The sequence below is a fragment of the Homo sapiens genome, chromosome 6, assembly GCF_000001405.40.
Source record: "Homo sapiens chromosome 6, GRCh38.p14 Primary Assembly".
NCBI classification, from domain to species: Eukaryota; Metazoa; Chordata; class Mammalia; order Primates; family Hominidae; genus Homo; species Homo sapiens.
The window spans coordinates 40,291,073-40,307,341 of record NC_000006.12 but is presented as its reverse complement, the minus strand read 5'-3'; the positions used below and the strand labels follow the sequence as shown (position 1 = coordinate 40,307,341).

The window sequence follows — 16,269 nt, the reverse complement described above, 5'->3', positions numbered from 1 at the left end:
TTTAAAAGGCCCTCAAAGTGGCTTGGCAACACTTTATAAAACATTGGTATTAATTCCTAGAAGGTCAAAGAGGCGTACGTGTGTGATTCTCTAACTCACTTTTCTACTGAATGACTGTGGCCTCCATTCCCAGTTCGGATTAGGGGATGTGGCTGCAGAGCCACTGAACATGATTTGCTTCCTGCCAAACAGAGAGGATGTGCTGGCTGCATGCAGGTGGAGTCAACCCCGAGTGCTGGGTTTTGAGCTCTGTGTGAGCAGGGAAGAAAGTGCCCTGTAAACTCTAGGGACTAGAGTCCTGGCCACAGAATCACAGAAGTGGGCCCTCCATCCCCTCTCCACTTGCCACCTTCACTTTCCTCAAGCCTCCCAGGGGCTGGAAGCACAGCACATGCTGAGCATGCCCTGTTGAGCGTCTGTAGGGCGTTCTTCACCAGGCTGCATGACTCATGTACACTCTCTCACACGTCTCTCATGTGCATCTCATGCCAGCTTGAGGAGGTGGGTACCATGATTAATATTCGCCTTTCATGGATGGAGAAACCGAGCTTGGAGAAGCAATGTGTTTACCCAGGAACTTACAGCTAAAATGCAGCAGTACTGGGACAGGAGCCTGCTTGGTTGAAATCCCAGTTTCAACAGTGGGACTTGTTCTTGTCCTCTGTTTTCTTTTACTTCTTCAGTTGATCCTTTTATTTTTTCATCCATAAGTAATATGTCAGTATATACTGATTATATGTAAAATAAAAATGCCACTCCTCTTCAACTCCCATTGGTCCAACCCTCTCTGCTTAAGTGACCACCATTATTTGTTGAGTGTATCCTTCCAGATCTTTTCTGTACACATAGAAATACACACAGAGTTGCTATTTTAAAAATATAAAAGGAATCACACTATACAAATACTTCTGCGACTTTTTTCTTAACAATGTGTTTCTTTCCAGATTCATATATCTGGACCTATTTCCTTTTTTAAATGGCTGCACAGTGTTCCATAGTATGCCCATACCATGATTTCACTAGAACCTTATTGATGTTTGATTTACTCAATGTAAACTAAAATAATAGTACCTGCCACATAGGATTATTGTTAAACAAGATGATGCATGGAAATTGCTTAGAATTAAGCCTGACATATAGTAAGTGCACATGCACACACATACATGCACACACATCATATACCTATTGGCTTTCATAATCTTTATCAACATCATCATCAATATTATTGATAGATGTTAATATTGTTCCCAGTTTTTTCCATTCTAAACAATGCTAGTGTGAAGATTTTTCTGCTGATATTTTGTATGTATGTGTGTTTGTCTATGAAATAGATTCCTGGAATGCTGGGGGACAGGAGGTTGAAGGGTGGGAGGAGAGAAGAGAGAGGTCAAGGTGTTCTTTTCCTGCTCCAGCCCCATGCCTCTGGTATTGGCATTGTTCTAAAACTACAGCTCCCATGGGGTGGCCCCTCTTTCAACTTCTACCTCTTTAGCCCCTTCTGCCTCTTTAGCCATAGGAGAGGTAACAGCTTCCTGCTGCTGCCAGCCTTGGGCACTTCATCATCCCTTGCCTATTCCTTTAACTCTGTGCATTTCTTTACAAGCTGATGCTTTATTTAATTGCCATCATTTGAACCATCAGGGTGTAAATTCTGTGTTCTGCCTGGGTCTTGGCTGAAACATTAGCCTTTTTATTTTTCTATAAATTGCCTGTTCATATTCTTCACTTATTTTCTATAGACTTGCCTTTATAATTATTTATAAAAACCCTACATTACAAATGTCAATATTTTGTTAAATATAGTATAAATGTTTTATCTGAGTCTTTATCTGCATGCAGCTTTATCTGCGTGCAGCTTCTCTTCTCTCAGCTTGACTTCAGCGTCTTTTCACTGTCCTTTGCTGGAGCCTCCACCTTGGCCCTTCCTCCAATGCTGGGTGCAGTTCCGAGACCCTCTATTCTTCCCTACCTGTACCTTCCTTTGATTCAATGATTTTAACAACCCCCTACCTGCTGCTGCTCCCCAAATTTATATCTCTAGCCCTGGCTTCTTCAGTGGTCTCCAGATTCCAATATAGAACCATCCACTTGCCATCATTGCTTGGATGTCCAATGACATCTCAGACTTAGCATGTCCCAAAGCAGAAATCTTGATTTCCCCACCCTAGACCTGTACTTCTCCTTGTCCTCCCAGTCTCTATATGGCATTGCCTTCCACCCATTGCTCAAGTCCCCCAAACTAGGAGTCATTCCACTTTTTCCTTGTCCTTCACATTTCACATCCAAATGAAAAATAAATCATGTTGGCTCCAATTCAAAAGATAACTCAAATCTGTTCTCATATCTACATCTCCACAGCCTCTGCCCCACTCCACACTGCCACCATTGCTTGTGTGACCGATTGTAGCAGCTTCCTAACTAGCTTCCTGCCTCTTCTCTTATGCATCCAGGATGAGGTTTGGTTTTACCATGAATTGTATCAGTCATTCTCCTGCTAAAATGCCCCAGTGACTACCCATCAAACTTAAAATGGTGCCTGTTTTATCAGAGTTCATGAGCCTCACTCCATGTCCAACCCCCTGTCCTTGGAGTCAGCCATTGGCCTTCACTCCATTCCCCGGCCATGCTGACCCATGACCCTGCTGCAGAGTATGGCACCTGCTGTCTCCTTCGTGCCTGAGATGTCGTGCCCTGGGTCATGCCATGGCTGCATCCTTCTTGTCACTCCGTCTTAGGCCAAAGCCTCCCTCATCAGTACAGTATTCCTGTTCACCTGATCTAGACGACATGTCTCTCATGCTTGCTACCATATCACACTCTTAGTTTCTTCAAAGTAATGATCACTACCAGAAATTACATTGTTCATTGTTGTGTGGGGAGGCTGAGGGCCTGGATTCTGGAGCCCAAGCACCTGGGTACAAATCTCAGCTTCGCTATTTGTGGCTATGGGACCTCCAGTGACCTATCTGGTCTGTCTGTGTCCTACTTTCCACATTTGTGAGATGGGGATGATGTCAATCAGGGGTCGGCACACAATGGCCCATGAGCCAAATCCAGCCCGATGCCTGTTTTGTTCTACCCTCAAGTTAAGAAAGGTTTTTACATTTTTAATTGGTTGGAAAATCAAAAGAAAAATACTTTGTGACACATGAAAATTAAATTTCATGGTGCCCATAAAGTTTTACTGGGGCACAGCCATGCCCGTTCATTTACGTTTTGTCTACAGCTGCTTTCACACTGCAATGGCGGAGGTGAGCAGTGGTGACAGAGATTATATGGCCCACAAAGCCTAAAATATGCACTATCTGGTTCTTTACAGAAAATGTTTGCTGACCTCTGATAGAAAAACCTGTCATCTACAGCTGATATAAGTGGATAAATCTATGTAGAGTTCTTAGAACAGTGCCTGATATATATGCATGTAGAGATATATAGATGGATAGAGATATATGTGCATATCAGCAACATGCACTGTTGTTACTTAATATCTGCCTCCCCTTTACCGCCCACCCGCTAGCACATTCTAGGATGATGGAAAGGCTCTCTATCTGTACGGTCCAGTGCACTAGCCACTTGTGCCTATCAAGCCCTCGAAATGTGATTAACGTGACCGAGGAACTGCATTTGTAATTATAGTTATTATAATTAATTTTAATTGAATTTAAAATGCCACATGTGGCTAGTGGCTATCATATTGGACAGGGCCCTGAGAACATCCATGCTTGGCATATGGTAAGAGCTCAATTAATGGCAGCTACACTCATTTCCTCCCTCTTCCCCTTCTCCCAGCCTCTGTTCTCCCTCTCCTCTCTCCTCTCATGGCCCTGGGCTTTTTCTTTCCTCTTTGCATCACTTTCTGTTTCGGGATCACCCCTCCTTTCCCTGCTTCTGTCCCCATCCCTACCCCACCCCCACCTAGCAGGCCCCTTACTCAGTGCCTTTTGACATCCACACCTCATCCTCAGCCGACTTAGCTGTCACTGTAAATCAGCCCCAATCATTCGCCATCTGGTCCCAGCCCTTAGCACAGAGCAGAGGGAGCCAGGTGGATTATGGCTGGAGGTGGGTGGGGTAACCAGGCCCCTGGGGTGGCAGCCAGAGATGCTCCATAATTTCCAAGGCTGGCATGGCACTCATGCTGCGCCTGATGCCAGTAGTTTGTGCCAGGCCTGAATGGACTGCCAGTCACAGAGAAGCCTGGGCCTGGAGGGTGGAGAGTGGCCCCAGGCCTGGCTGCAGGTGCTGCAAGTGGGCGGCAGATGGATGGTGTGGAGGCGGCAAGGAGAGGGCTGCTGGGTAGCGTCTCCCTCCCGGGAGCATGATGTTAGGGACTTAGGGCCTCATTACCATCACTGCGGCTGTGCAGCCTTCATCAGCTACAGGAGAGGCATTAGGGCAGCCTTCTTGAAGAGTGAAGTTCCCATCTAGCCACAGCCTGTGCTAGGCCACTTTGCAGCCACCAGCCCTCCCCTCACACAGAGCTCATTGGCAACAGGGTACCAATGCTGCCAAAATCCTTGGGGACAGGCCTGAGGCCATAGCAGGAAGGTGCCAGGTTAGACATGAGCGAGGGGAGACAAGGGTATAGAGCTCAGACAGGACATCTGAATAAATTGTGATAAATGAATGAATGAATGAGTACTAAGCCATCCCAATTTTTTTTTTTTTTTGAGAAAGCAATTATAACAACTAAGGAAACTCGCATTTCAGACTTAGCTTGGCCTCTCACAACTAGCTGTGAGTTGCTGGATGAGTGACAGTCCTTTATCTGGAAAATGAAGGGATTGGTTGTATTGGGGGTTCTTAACTGGAGACAGGAGGTGTTTAGAAATGTATGGGGGCACTTTTGTTTGTCATAGTGACTAGGAGGTATGATGGGCATTGAGTGGGTGGGACCAGGGATGCCAACATACTGCAAAGGGCTATTGTCCCACACAAGGAAATTCATTCCAACCAATGCTGATAGCACCCCATTGGGATGGTCCCTTCTAATTCCTCCAGCTGGGACAGTCCTTGTGTCTGTGGTAATCACTGTTGGAGCTCCACTCGCATGCCCCTGGTCTCACCATTGTAGCCACTCTCAGGTTAACTCTCCTTGGGCACTGCCTGCATGTCTGTGCCTGGGGCCTTTTTCTGGCAATTGAATCCTGTTCTGCCTGCCATGTGGCATCCAGAACACTGGGGGATTACAGCCCCTGGGCGCAGCCCTCAACCAACAGCTGATGGAGTTGGTGTATAAGTGCCCCAGCTCCCTGTTGCTTCAGGGTCCACTCTGAGGCATGTCCCACATGGTCTTCCAAAGGCCTGCAGTGGGACTGAGCCACAGTTGCTCACAGTGGAACCTAGGATAGGACTCCAGTGCGGAAGATTCCTGCCCTTCCTTGCCTTGCTTCCCACCTCCCCCATCTTCACTCAAATCCTTGACTCAGAGTCAGTTTTTCAGGGAGTTCAGACTAAGATGGTGACCATGAATGACAGCTGGGCCATCTGGTAAGACTGGGAAGATGTGCCTCTTCCTGCCTGGGGAAATTGGAGAGGCACTGAATGACAGGTAGGCACTGTGAACCTAACCAAATTGGGATGGGTGGAGGCTAGGTCAGGACATGCAGACAGCAGGAACTCCTGGCTGCTGACTTCCCAGTGTCCCACACAGACACAGGGCAGCTGCGGGAGCCTTGGATTCCATTTCTCTCCTTGGCACCCTTCTGCAGGCCCATCACCCAGTGAAATTGCCCACTGGCCAGGAGAGGGAAACAAACACATCAAAATACATCATTCTCATTATGCATGGCACTCAGCACTGATGAAATCAGATAATGCCTGCTTCACCTGCAAGAGAGACTTCTTTCAAAGGAGAGATTAGTGGAGGGAATAAAATGGGAAAGCTCCTGATTGTTTTCCATCCCTCTTCATCCATCTGGTCTCAGCGGAGAAGCCCAACATTCACCCTAAACGGTCCCAAAGACCAGGGCCACTCAGGCCAGCCATGAGTTAGGAACAACAAAGAATGTGTAGTGTGAGCAGGGGCAGAAGTCAGCTCCTCTACAAAGGAAAAAGAAAATGAGGCTATGTCTGTGTGGCAGACTGCTGGCTGCCCACTGCCCATCCCTCACCCCACTGTCCTCATTCTGCCCTCTTCCTTAGATATGCTGCTTTATGACTATTCTGGCCAATACATTGTAGTGGAAGTTCACTGGAGTGTTCCTGGAGACAGCTTTGGCTGACCTGATAAAGGTGCTCCCCTGCCCCCACCTCCACCATGCTTCCACCTTCTTTCTGCTGGAAGTGTATATATGATGGCTGGAACTGCAGCAGCCATGCTGCACTCACAAGGGAAAGACTAACAATCTCAGATTTTGGTATTGACATCCTTGAACCTCTGCCAGCAGCTGCCTATTTCTATATTTCTTCTTATAGGAGAAAAATAAGCCTCTCTTTTGTGGGCAGTGGAGTTGGGTATTCTGATGGTTGCTGCTGAGCACAGTCCTTGCTGGCTGTGCTTTCTTGTTCTGTTACGACTGCATTGTGAATCTGACACTCATGTGCCCTACCTCACAGCCTCTCAGCCGAACCTTTCATTGTGGCCATTGCTGCAGAATCAGCCACATGCGGTGTCCTCTCACAGCACCCTGCCTCAGCAGCACCACTTCTCTCTACACCTCGGCAGTGACTGCCCCCAGGAAGCTGCACAGCCAGCTATACAGACATAGGCACAACGCCAGAGGTGCGAGGATGTCAGCACCCCAATGGCAGGGGGCAACCATTGCCCAATGGTGGCCAGAAACCGAAGGATAAATGGTCCCCTCTTTCCCCTCTGGAGTGGACCCTTCTGAAGCCCTCAGCAAGCCCATCATGTGATGGAACCTGCACTGCTCACAGCAGAACCCAGCTTGGTAGGGCACGCTTGTGCTGGCTTACTCTCCTTCCTACTTCATTCTTCCAGCCCCTATTTCTGTCCCCTCCCAAAATATACTATCTGCATCTAAAATGGTGTTTCAGACTTTTCAGACTTTTGGTGGGGAACCCAGACTAGGACAGCTTAGGTTTCTGGGTGACCTTGGACAGCCTGCTCACTGTCTCTGGGCTTCAGTCTTCCCTCCTGCACAGTAGGTAGACATTGGACCACATGCTATCTGCGGTCCTTCCCTTGTCATCCCTGTGCCCTATACTTGCCTCTCTATGTCAGTGTGTCAGCTCCACTGCAGGATCCCCTGGGGCAGGGTCCACACCTGCCTCAGCCTGTCTGGGAGACCCAGTCCCAGATCACACATACAGTCAGTGGAGGAGGGAAGAGAACAGTCAGAAGAAAGCGTTAATTACTAAGTGAAGCAAGCAAGCAAACCTCAGGCTGGAAGCTAAATCATGTGAAGGGAGAGAGGATGGAGGTTGCCAGGCAGGCGCTGAGCCCATTAAATGGGAATGGTCCGGAGTGGAGTGCCAGCCAGGGCAGGGATCAAGCACACAGCAGGGTGTTAATTAGCTGCTGTGGCTTTGGTCACAGGTCACTGAGAGCAGAAAATGCTCAGTCCTGCCAGGGCATTGCAGAGGGAGCGAGGGTGAGGGCAGGGAGAGCTGAAGACGGTTGAGGCCTGGCATAGGCTGGAGGCACAGGGCAGGCCACTGTGGCTGGTACTGAGCTCTCCGATCCTCTGAAAGCCACCCCTGTCTCCCAAGCCCTGCCCAGAGAAAAGTCAACAAGCCTTCCCTGAGCCCACCTGTGCCAGGCTATGCAACAGAGGGGACGCAGCCCCTGACCTCATGGAGGGTACTATCTAATGTGGAAAGAGCTTCTAGGTAGGAAAAGCAGGAGGCCTGGTGAGCACTCATAAGGGATGGAGCTACAAGAAAGGTTTCCAGGAAGAAGTGTCTTCTTTGTTGAAACCTGGGAGAAGTGGTCCAGTAAAACCATATGGGGATGCTGGAGAGAGGGAAGGGCATGCCAGGACAGGAAAGCTTATGCAAAGGCCAGGAGGCAAGAGAGAGTATGGCAGGTTTGGGAGCTGCAAGTCATCCTGGAAAACTCTCCCTCAGCCAATTGCAGAAGCCACTGCTCCCTGGGGCATCTACCTCTGGAGGGCTCCCCCTATGGCCATGGCTCCCACCTTGCCTGAGGCCTCCAGGGTACCAGATTTGAGCAGCACAGGGAGTGGCCCAAGTAGGTGCTTAGATCCTGGGCCTCCAGTTTAGGATTCCATTCAAGATGAGACCAAAAGGGAGGCTCTCAGGTTAACTTTCTTTTTTTTTTTTTTTTTTTTTTTTTGAGATGGAGTCTCACTCTGTCACCCAGGCTGGAGTGCAGTGGTGCGATCTTGGCTCACTGCAAGCACTGCTTCCCAGGTTCACGCCATTCTCCTGCCTCAGCCTCCCGAGTAGCTGGGACTACAGGCACCTGCCACCATGCCCGGCTAATTTTTTTTTTTTTTTGTATTTTTAGTAGAGACAGGGTTTCACTGTATTAGTCAGGGTGGTCTCAATCTCCTGACCTCGTGATCTGCCCGCCTCAGCCTCCCAAAGTGCTGGGATTACAGGTGTGAGCCACCGCACCCAGCCTTTAGGTTACCTTTCCACAGGTCAAGTGGCAATGAAGGTATGTCATTCATTCATTCAACAAACACTAAACACCTACTGTATGACAGCCTCCTTGCTGGGTGCAAGAGACACAAAGATAAATAAGCCTTGTCAGGTCCTTGCCCTCCCTGAGTCCCCAGCAATAAGAAGATAGACATATATACAGATAATTACAGAAAACCCAAGATAAATAACAGTCACTGACGAAACACAGAAGGTTATTACTACTTCATATTAATCAATTTCAGAAGTAGGCAGCCTGCGGCTGGTATGGCAGCTCAATACTCATCTGAGACCCATGTGCCTATCTTGTTTCTCCACCTTCCTCAGCACATAGCTTCTACTGTGTGATCCAAGATGGATGCTGGAGCACCAGCCATCTCATCCACATTCCAGCCAGCAAAATGAGAAATGAAGGAAATGAGAAAGAAAAGGACATTCTTCTCTTTAAAGACACTTCCTAAGTGTCCTTAACACTTTTCTAACTTTAGCTTATGTCCTATTGGCTAGAATTTAGTCAGAGGACCACACCCACCTGCAAGATAGAATGGGATTATAGACTTTATTTCAGGAGTTCATGAGCCCAGTTAAAAATTGAGGGATACTTTCACCAAGGAAGATGGAAGAAAGAGAGATTGAGGACATCTAGCAGTCTCTGCCACAAATCAGAACACTTCATGGCCAAGGATGGCAGAATCCTGAGCTAGGAATTTCCATTACTGCATTTGTTTTGGGCCAAGGGGGCTCTGTTAGATGGCCTCCATCACAGAATCTCAGATTCTTGTTAGGGACTAGAAGACTGGGTCCTTAAAGGGATGACATCTCAAAGCTGACTCCCTTGACCGATCTTTCTCCCTTTTTCCTTCTCAACTGATACTTCTCAAAAAAACTTTTGCATTCCCAATTCCACTTTAGCTTCTACTTCCCAGAGAGTACAACCAGCTGGGGGTTGGGGTGGGAGGCAGCCGACGCTGTAGGTCCTTCATTGTTGTATTAGTCTGTTCTCAGACTGCTAATAAAGACATACCTGAGACTGGGTAATTTATAAAGGAAAGAGGTTTAATGACTCACAGTTCCACATGACTGGGGAGGCCTTATAATCATGGCAGAATGCAAAGATACGTCTTACATGGCAGCAAGCAAGAGAACATGTACAGGGGAACTGCCCTTTATAAACTCATCAGATCTCATGAGACCTATTCACTATCACAAGGACAGCACAGGAAGAACCCGCCCCCATGATTCAATTACTTCCCACCGGGTTCCTCCCATGACACGTGAGAATTATAGGAGCTATAATTCAAGATGAGATTTGGGTGGGGACACAGAGCCACACCATGTTGTTCTATCCCTGGCCCCTCCCAAATCTCAAGTTCTCACATTTCAAAAGCAATTATGCCTTCCCAGCAGTCCCCCAAAGTCTTAACTCATTTCAGGATTAACTCAAAAGTCCACAGTCCAAAGTCTCATCTGAGACAAGGCAAGTTCCTTCTGAATATGAGCCTGTAAAATCAAAAGCAAGTTAGTTACTTCCTAGATACAATGGGGATGCAGACATTGAGTAAATACACCCATTCCCAATGGGAGCAATTGGCCAAAATGAAGGGGCTACAGACCCCATGCAAGTCCCAAATCCAGTGGAGCAGTCAAATCTTAAAGTTCCAAAATGATCTCCTTTGACTCCATGTCTCACATCCAGGTCACGCTGATGCTCCCACGGCTTTGGGCAGCTCCACCTCTGTGGATTTGCAGGGTACAGCCCCCCCACCCCCAGCCCACCCCGGCTGCTTTCATGGGCTGGTGTTGAGTGTCTGCGGCTTTTCCAGGTGCACGATGTAAGCTGTCGGTGGATCTAACATTCTAGGGTCTGGAGGACAGTGACCCTCTTCTCACAGCTCCACTAGGCAGTGCCCCAGTGGGGACTCAGTGTGGGGGCTTCCACCCCACATTTCCCTTCTACACTGCCTTGGTGGAAGCTCTCCATGAGGGTTCTGCCCTGGCTGCCAACTTTTGCCTGGACATCCACGCATTTCCACATATCCTCTGAAATCTAAGTGGAGGTTCCCAAACCTTAATTCTTGACTTCTGTGCATCCTCAGGCTCAACATCAGATGTAAGCTGTCAAGGCTTGGGACTTGCATCCTTTGAAGCCACAGCCTGAGCTTTACCTGGGCCCCTTTTAGCCACAGCTGGAGTGGCTGGGATGCAGGGTACCAAGTCCCTAGGCTGCACACAGCAGGGGGGCCCAGGACTCAGCCCAGGAAACCACTTTTCCCTCCTAGGCCTCTGAGCCTGGGGCCCGTGATGGAAGGGACTGCCGTGAAGGTCTCTGACATGGCCTGGAGACATTTTCCCCATTGTCTTGCTGATTAATATTGGCTCCTCATTACTTATTAAAATTTCTGCAGCTGGCCTGAATTTATCCCCAGAAAATGGGTTTCTCTTTTCCATGGCATTGTCAGGCTGCAGATTTTCCAAATTTTTATGCTGTTCTTCCTCTTGAACAGTTTGCCACTTCGAAATTTCTTCTGCCAGATACCCTAAATCATCTTTTTTAAGTTCAAAGTTCCACAGATCTCTAGGGTGGGGCAAAATGCCACCAGTTTCTTTGTGTGGCAAGAGTGACCTTTACTCCAGTTCCTAATGAGTTCCTCATCTCCACCTGAGACCACCTCAGCCTGGACTTTATTGTTCATATCACTGTTAGCATTTTGGTCAAAGCCATTCAACAAACCTCTAGGAAGTTGCAAACTTTCCCACATCTTCCTATCTTCTTCTGAGCCCTTCAAACTGTTCCAGCCTCTGCCTGTTACCCAGTTCCAAAGTTGCTTCCACATTTTGGGTATCTTTACAGCAGCACTGCTCTCTACTGGTACCAATTTACTGTATTAGTCTGTTCTCACACTGCTGATAAAGACATACCTGAGACTGGGTAATTTATAAAGGAAAGAGGTTTAATGACTCAAAGTTCCACATGGCTGGGGAGGCCTCACAGTCATGGCAGGAGGCCAAGGAGTAGCAAAGGCATGTCTTATATGGCAGCAGGCCAGAGAGTGGGTGCAGGAGCTCCACCCTTTATAAAGCCATCAGATCTCATAAGACTTTTTCACTATCATGAGAACAGAATGGGAAAAACCCACCCCCATGATTTAATTACCTCCCACCAGGTCCCTCCCACAACACGTGGGGATTATGAGAGTCACAATTCAATATAGGATTTGGGTGGGGACACAGCCAAACCATATCAATTGTATAATCTCCTCATCTCTGCCCCTCCCTTCAGTCCCTGCTTCAACCAGCCTTGTGCAGATGCAACCCAACAGAACTCACCTCTGCCTGTGCCCTGCCTCTCTCACTTCCTGCCCAGGGTTTCTCTGATACCAATTCATTCCCATTGGTACCTGTTTCATGCTCAGGCACCTGTAACCAGGAAGTGCAGGTCACCCGTGGCCAATAGGAGGTGACAGCCAAGGGGTAACTTTTTCTCCCTTTCATCCCCTTGGGCACATGGTGCTGAGACATATTACACAAAGCTCCAGAGAGGTCCCAGAGAGATCACACACCAGTTGCCTGCAGGAATGGCCAATCTGATAATGCAAGCTTGGATGGGCTTTCCTGCCTTCCCTGTTTAGTTTTCCTTCTACTCCCCTCCTGTTCCCTGAGATCACTTCCCAGCTAAATGCCACCAGGAGGTAGCCTCTGTTTCAGACTCTACTTATAGGGCAACTCCAGACCAGGATGTGTAGGAGGCTTTTCTCTCTTTCTGTTTTATTTCCCCTCACAGATAAGAAACTATCCTAGGAGCACTTGACTGAGCTCAGAAAACCCAGCTTCAGGTCTGATTCTGCTGCTTCTCAGCTATGAGCCCTTGGGCTCAGCCTCTCTGTGCTCCATTTGTCTCCTCTGTAAGTTGGGAGTAGGTATGCTTACTTGGGCCCTTCTGGGGCCCGTTACTGGGGAACCCTGAGGATGGGGCTGTTTCTCCCCTCAGACTGGGGCTCCTAGAGGATGGAGCTGTGTCTCCCTCAGACTGGGCCCTCTCTTACGTGTGCACCTTCAGGGACACCACCCTCATGGTGTCCCATATGAATGATGCCCCTTGGAGTCAAGCAACATGTGACCCTGGGTACACCACAGAGGGTTAAATGAGTAGCTAGGTGCCTCTACCATGCAGCTTGGTATACAGTAGAAGCTCAATGGAGTTTAATTCACTTCCTTCTGCCATCAGTTTGGGGACCTCCTGAGACTAAGGGATCTGTCTTTCTCATCAGACTGAAAGCTTGTTGAGAGCAAGGGCTGTGTCACCTCTATCAGATGGAGAGTGTTCTGAGAGCAGGAGCAGTGTCCTTCTGCCATCAAGCTGGGAGCTCCACCATCACCCTGTGAACTGCTCAGAGCAGGAATCACCTCTGCCTCTTACAGGAGGCTTGCTGAGACCAGAAGCTTTCTTTCCTGTATCAAACTGGGGCTTCCCGAGGACGGGACTGTCTGCTCTCAGACTGGGGCTCCCTAAGGACAGGGCTGTGTCTCCCTCAGACTGGGACCACCCAAGGCCGGGGCTGTGTCTCCCCTCAGACTGGGGCTCCCTGAGTAAGGGGTATGATTCCCCTCAGACTGGGGATCCCTGAGGATGGGACTGCGTCTCCCTTCAGACTGGGGCTCCCTGAGTACAGGTGTTGTGAACTTCTCTATTCCTGTCTCCAGCAGGTGTCCCATTCTGGCTCCCGACCCGCCTGGCCATGCTGCAGTCCCTTTCTGCCCTGGATGATCACACCGCCGTCTTCCTGTTCAGCACGCCTCTCTCCTGGCATCTGCCTCCCACTGCTGTGGCTGAATCAGGGCCTGCTCCTCCCTGCTTGCTTTGCTCTCCCCACCAATGCCTGTGTGTATTAGGATGAACATGTTGTATTATGCTAACTGCTGGCTTACCCTTTGGTGATTAAAAGGAACATCACACTGCAGGCAGAGTAATCCTAATTACAAGGTAGAAACCACTGCTTTTTTACTAAGAGACAAACGGGGACGTTTTATATCTTTTCCAAGTGCAACGGAGGATGTGCAAAGCTGTCACAGGCTTCTAGGGAGCTGGGGTGGGTGGGGCTTCCCTGAGGACTGTGTCAGGAGACCTCTGGTCTCTCCATCCCCCGTAGGCTGACAGAGTAGCCTGGGGAGGAGAATGACCTTTGCAGGAGGGAAATGAAATCCCTCTGCAGGTCAGGTTCATTAACAAATATCACTGATCCACAACTACAACCCTTCTCCCTGGGAAAGCACAGAGGCTTCAGCAGGAACAGCATCAGGCTGGGGACAGGAACATGGGGGAGCTCACAGAGCCCCAGCCACTGCAGCCACCCTGCCCACCCCTCCCAAGGGCTCACTCCTGCAGGTCAGACTGTCCCCCACAATCCAAGGACCCCACCTATCATCAGAGATGCAAGAGCCTTCTGGGACCCAGAGTTCATGCCCTGGGGTTTTCCATGACTCAGTGCTACTATCTGTGTTCATTTGCTCTTTCCCTCTCTCACTTCCTTCCTCCCCTCCCTCCTTTCATCAATTATCATGCACCAACTTTGTGACAGTGCTTAGCTCTGGGGAAATCACAGTGAAGAAGGATAGACAGGATCCGAACCTCATGGGACTTTTATTCTAATAGAGGAGACAGCTATTAAATGATTACACAGAATATCAGTCAGTGTGATTATGGTGGGTGTTACAAGGAAAAAGGACAGGATGCTTTACCTCATCTGAGGTTAAACTCTTATGCCAACAAGCTAGAAGTTACTATGTACCTGGAGTTGTTTCCATTCATCCATTCATTCACTACTTCCTCAGCACCTGCAATTTGCCAAGTACTGTCACCTGCATGGCGAGGCAGCCAACAGAATCCTTGCCTCAAGGGGCTCACATTCTAGACCAGAAGACAGACAACGGACACATTTAAACAGTAAGTGGTTAGGCTCACACTCAGCCAGGCATTGTGCTGTTTCATATGCTTTACAGACATTATTCCTTATAACAATTGTGGGAAACATTATTATATTCAACCTACAGGTGAGGAAACCGTAACCTCCAGGAGAGCAAAAACAGTTTTTGGAATCTCTGTGTTGCCCAGAGTGGTTAGAATAAAGAAAATATTAAATTCTGGTAGTTGAGAAAGAAGAGTGACCCTTCCTGGGGGCAGCCAGTCACCACTACCGTGCTGGTTCCATGTCCACCTTCTCTGGCGGCACTGCTCCCTAAGGCAAGGCCTGACACACCATTGCTGAGCAGATGAAGGAGGAAAGCACCGCGGGACCGCACAGCTTCCTAAGCCCACATGCATTTCCAGGCTCGACAGAGGCACATTTCTTTCCTTGATAGCGACAGTTTCCCGAGGCCTTCAGGGGAAATCATTTTCTATGTAATGATTTCATTTTACATATGTCTATTGACTTTTCTTCATGTTCCATTGGCAATTTTCAATACCTAACCTGCAGAACAGCCCAGTTACACCAATTCCAAGAAAACAAGGACATACATATTCAGACATATTCATCGCCATCACCTCCCTGCTCCCCAAGCAGGGGTGCCGCTGTAGCCTGTCAGGGCTCAACCTCTGAGGCAAGCATCTCTTTACAGGTGAGGTATTTGGGCCCTTCCTTCTCCTGCCTCCACACCCTGCCTTGTGGCAGTTCCTTGTTCTCAAGTCCCCCAGTCAGGCAGGATGGACATAAGACTTAACTCACCGATGTCTGTTGTACTGCTCAAAGCCAGGGGTGGGTAAGGGGCCAGGCAAGTGAAGCCATCCAGTCAGGTGAGGTCTTTGTCTCATCTTTGAACTTAAATCATGCACATTCAGGCCTGACAACATGTGTTCTGTGTTGGGATTGAGGATATGCATGAAATGAGTCTACAGGGGCTGATCTGCATGCCCAGGGACAAGGGGTAGAGGGGACATCACCACTTGTTCCAGGTATTTCAGATCTTTCATTGCTTACCACTCTGGGTCTAGTTGTTTTGATTTCTAAGCCAGAAGTGAGGATCTCTGTTCTCTTCTGTCATTTAGGAGGTTGGGGTTTCCATACTGAACACTGCCAGAGCCTCACCCATATCTCCTCAGTTGCACACCAGCCAACTTCAAATGCCTCCTTGCACCTGAGTGGTTTTTTTGTTTATTTTTATTATCTATATATTTTTTGAGGGCTTTCCTTGTCCTCTAAATCCTTCATTGCCTGTTCATGGCAGGCTGGAATTGCTGAGGAACTATCAGCCCAAGAGCAGCTCTCAACCCGTGATTGATGGGGCTTGGTGTAGAAATACCCCAGCTCTCTCACCCCTAAGAGGCATATAAAACCAAGGTGCATGCTCTGCCCTGGCTCCTAGTCCTGGCAAGCAGGATTAAGCTCTAGTTGTCAATCTGTTTTCTAATGCACCCTGTATTGGCTTCATTCTTTTCTCTATCCCACTTCCCCTCTCCCTTTCCCGTGTTTCCCGAGATCCCCCAAATAAGCTACTGGTGCTCAAGTCCTTAACTCAGACCTCTTAAGATTGAAGACAGGGGCATCATTGTTAAATGTGTAGATTCAAATTCTATTTGTGCCTCTTAGACCTTGGACTGCTTACTTAAGCTCTCTTTGTTTCAGTGTCTTCACTTGTAAAATGGGTATAAAGACAGGCATTACCCCATAGAGTCATTATGAAGACTAATGAGTGACTACATGG

At 48.4% G+C, this 16,269-nt stretch overlaps 1 annotated feature.

Annotated features, from left to right (window-relative positions):
* Positions 2,327 to 2,510: a silencer, noted in NCBI's record as "fragment chr6:40272571-40272754 (GRCh37/hg19 assembly coordinates)". NCBI's record gives its function as "represses an EF-1alpha promoter that drives an FKBP-Casp9 reporter gene in an ReSE screen in phorbol 12-myristate 13-acetate-treated (for megakaryocytic differentiation) K562 erythroleukemia cells {active_cell/tissue: K562(+PMA)}" and the evidence as "EXISTENCE:reporter gene assay evidence [ECO:0000049][PMID:32094911]".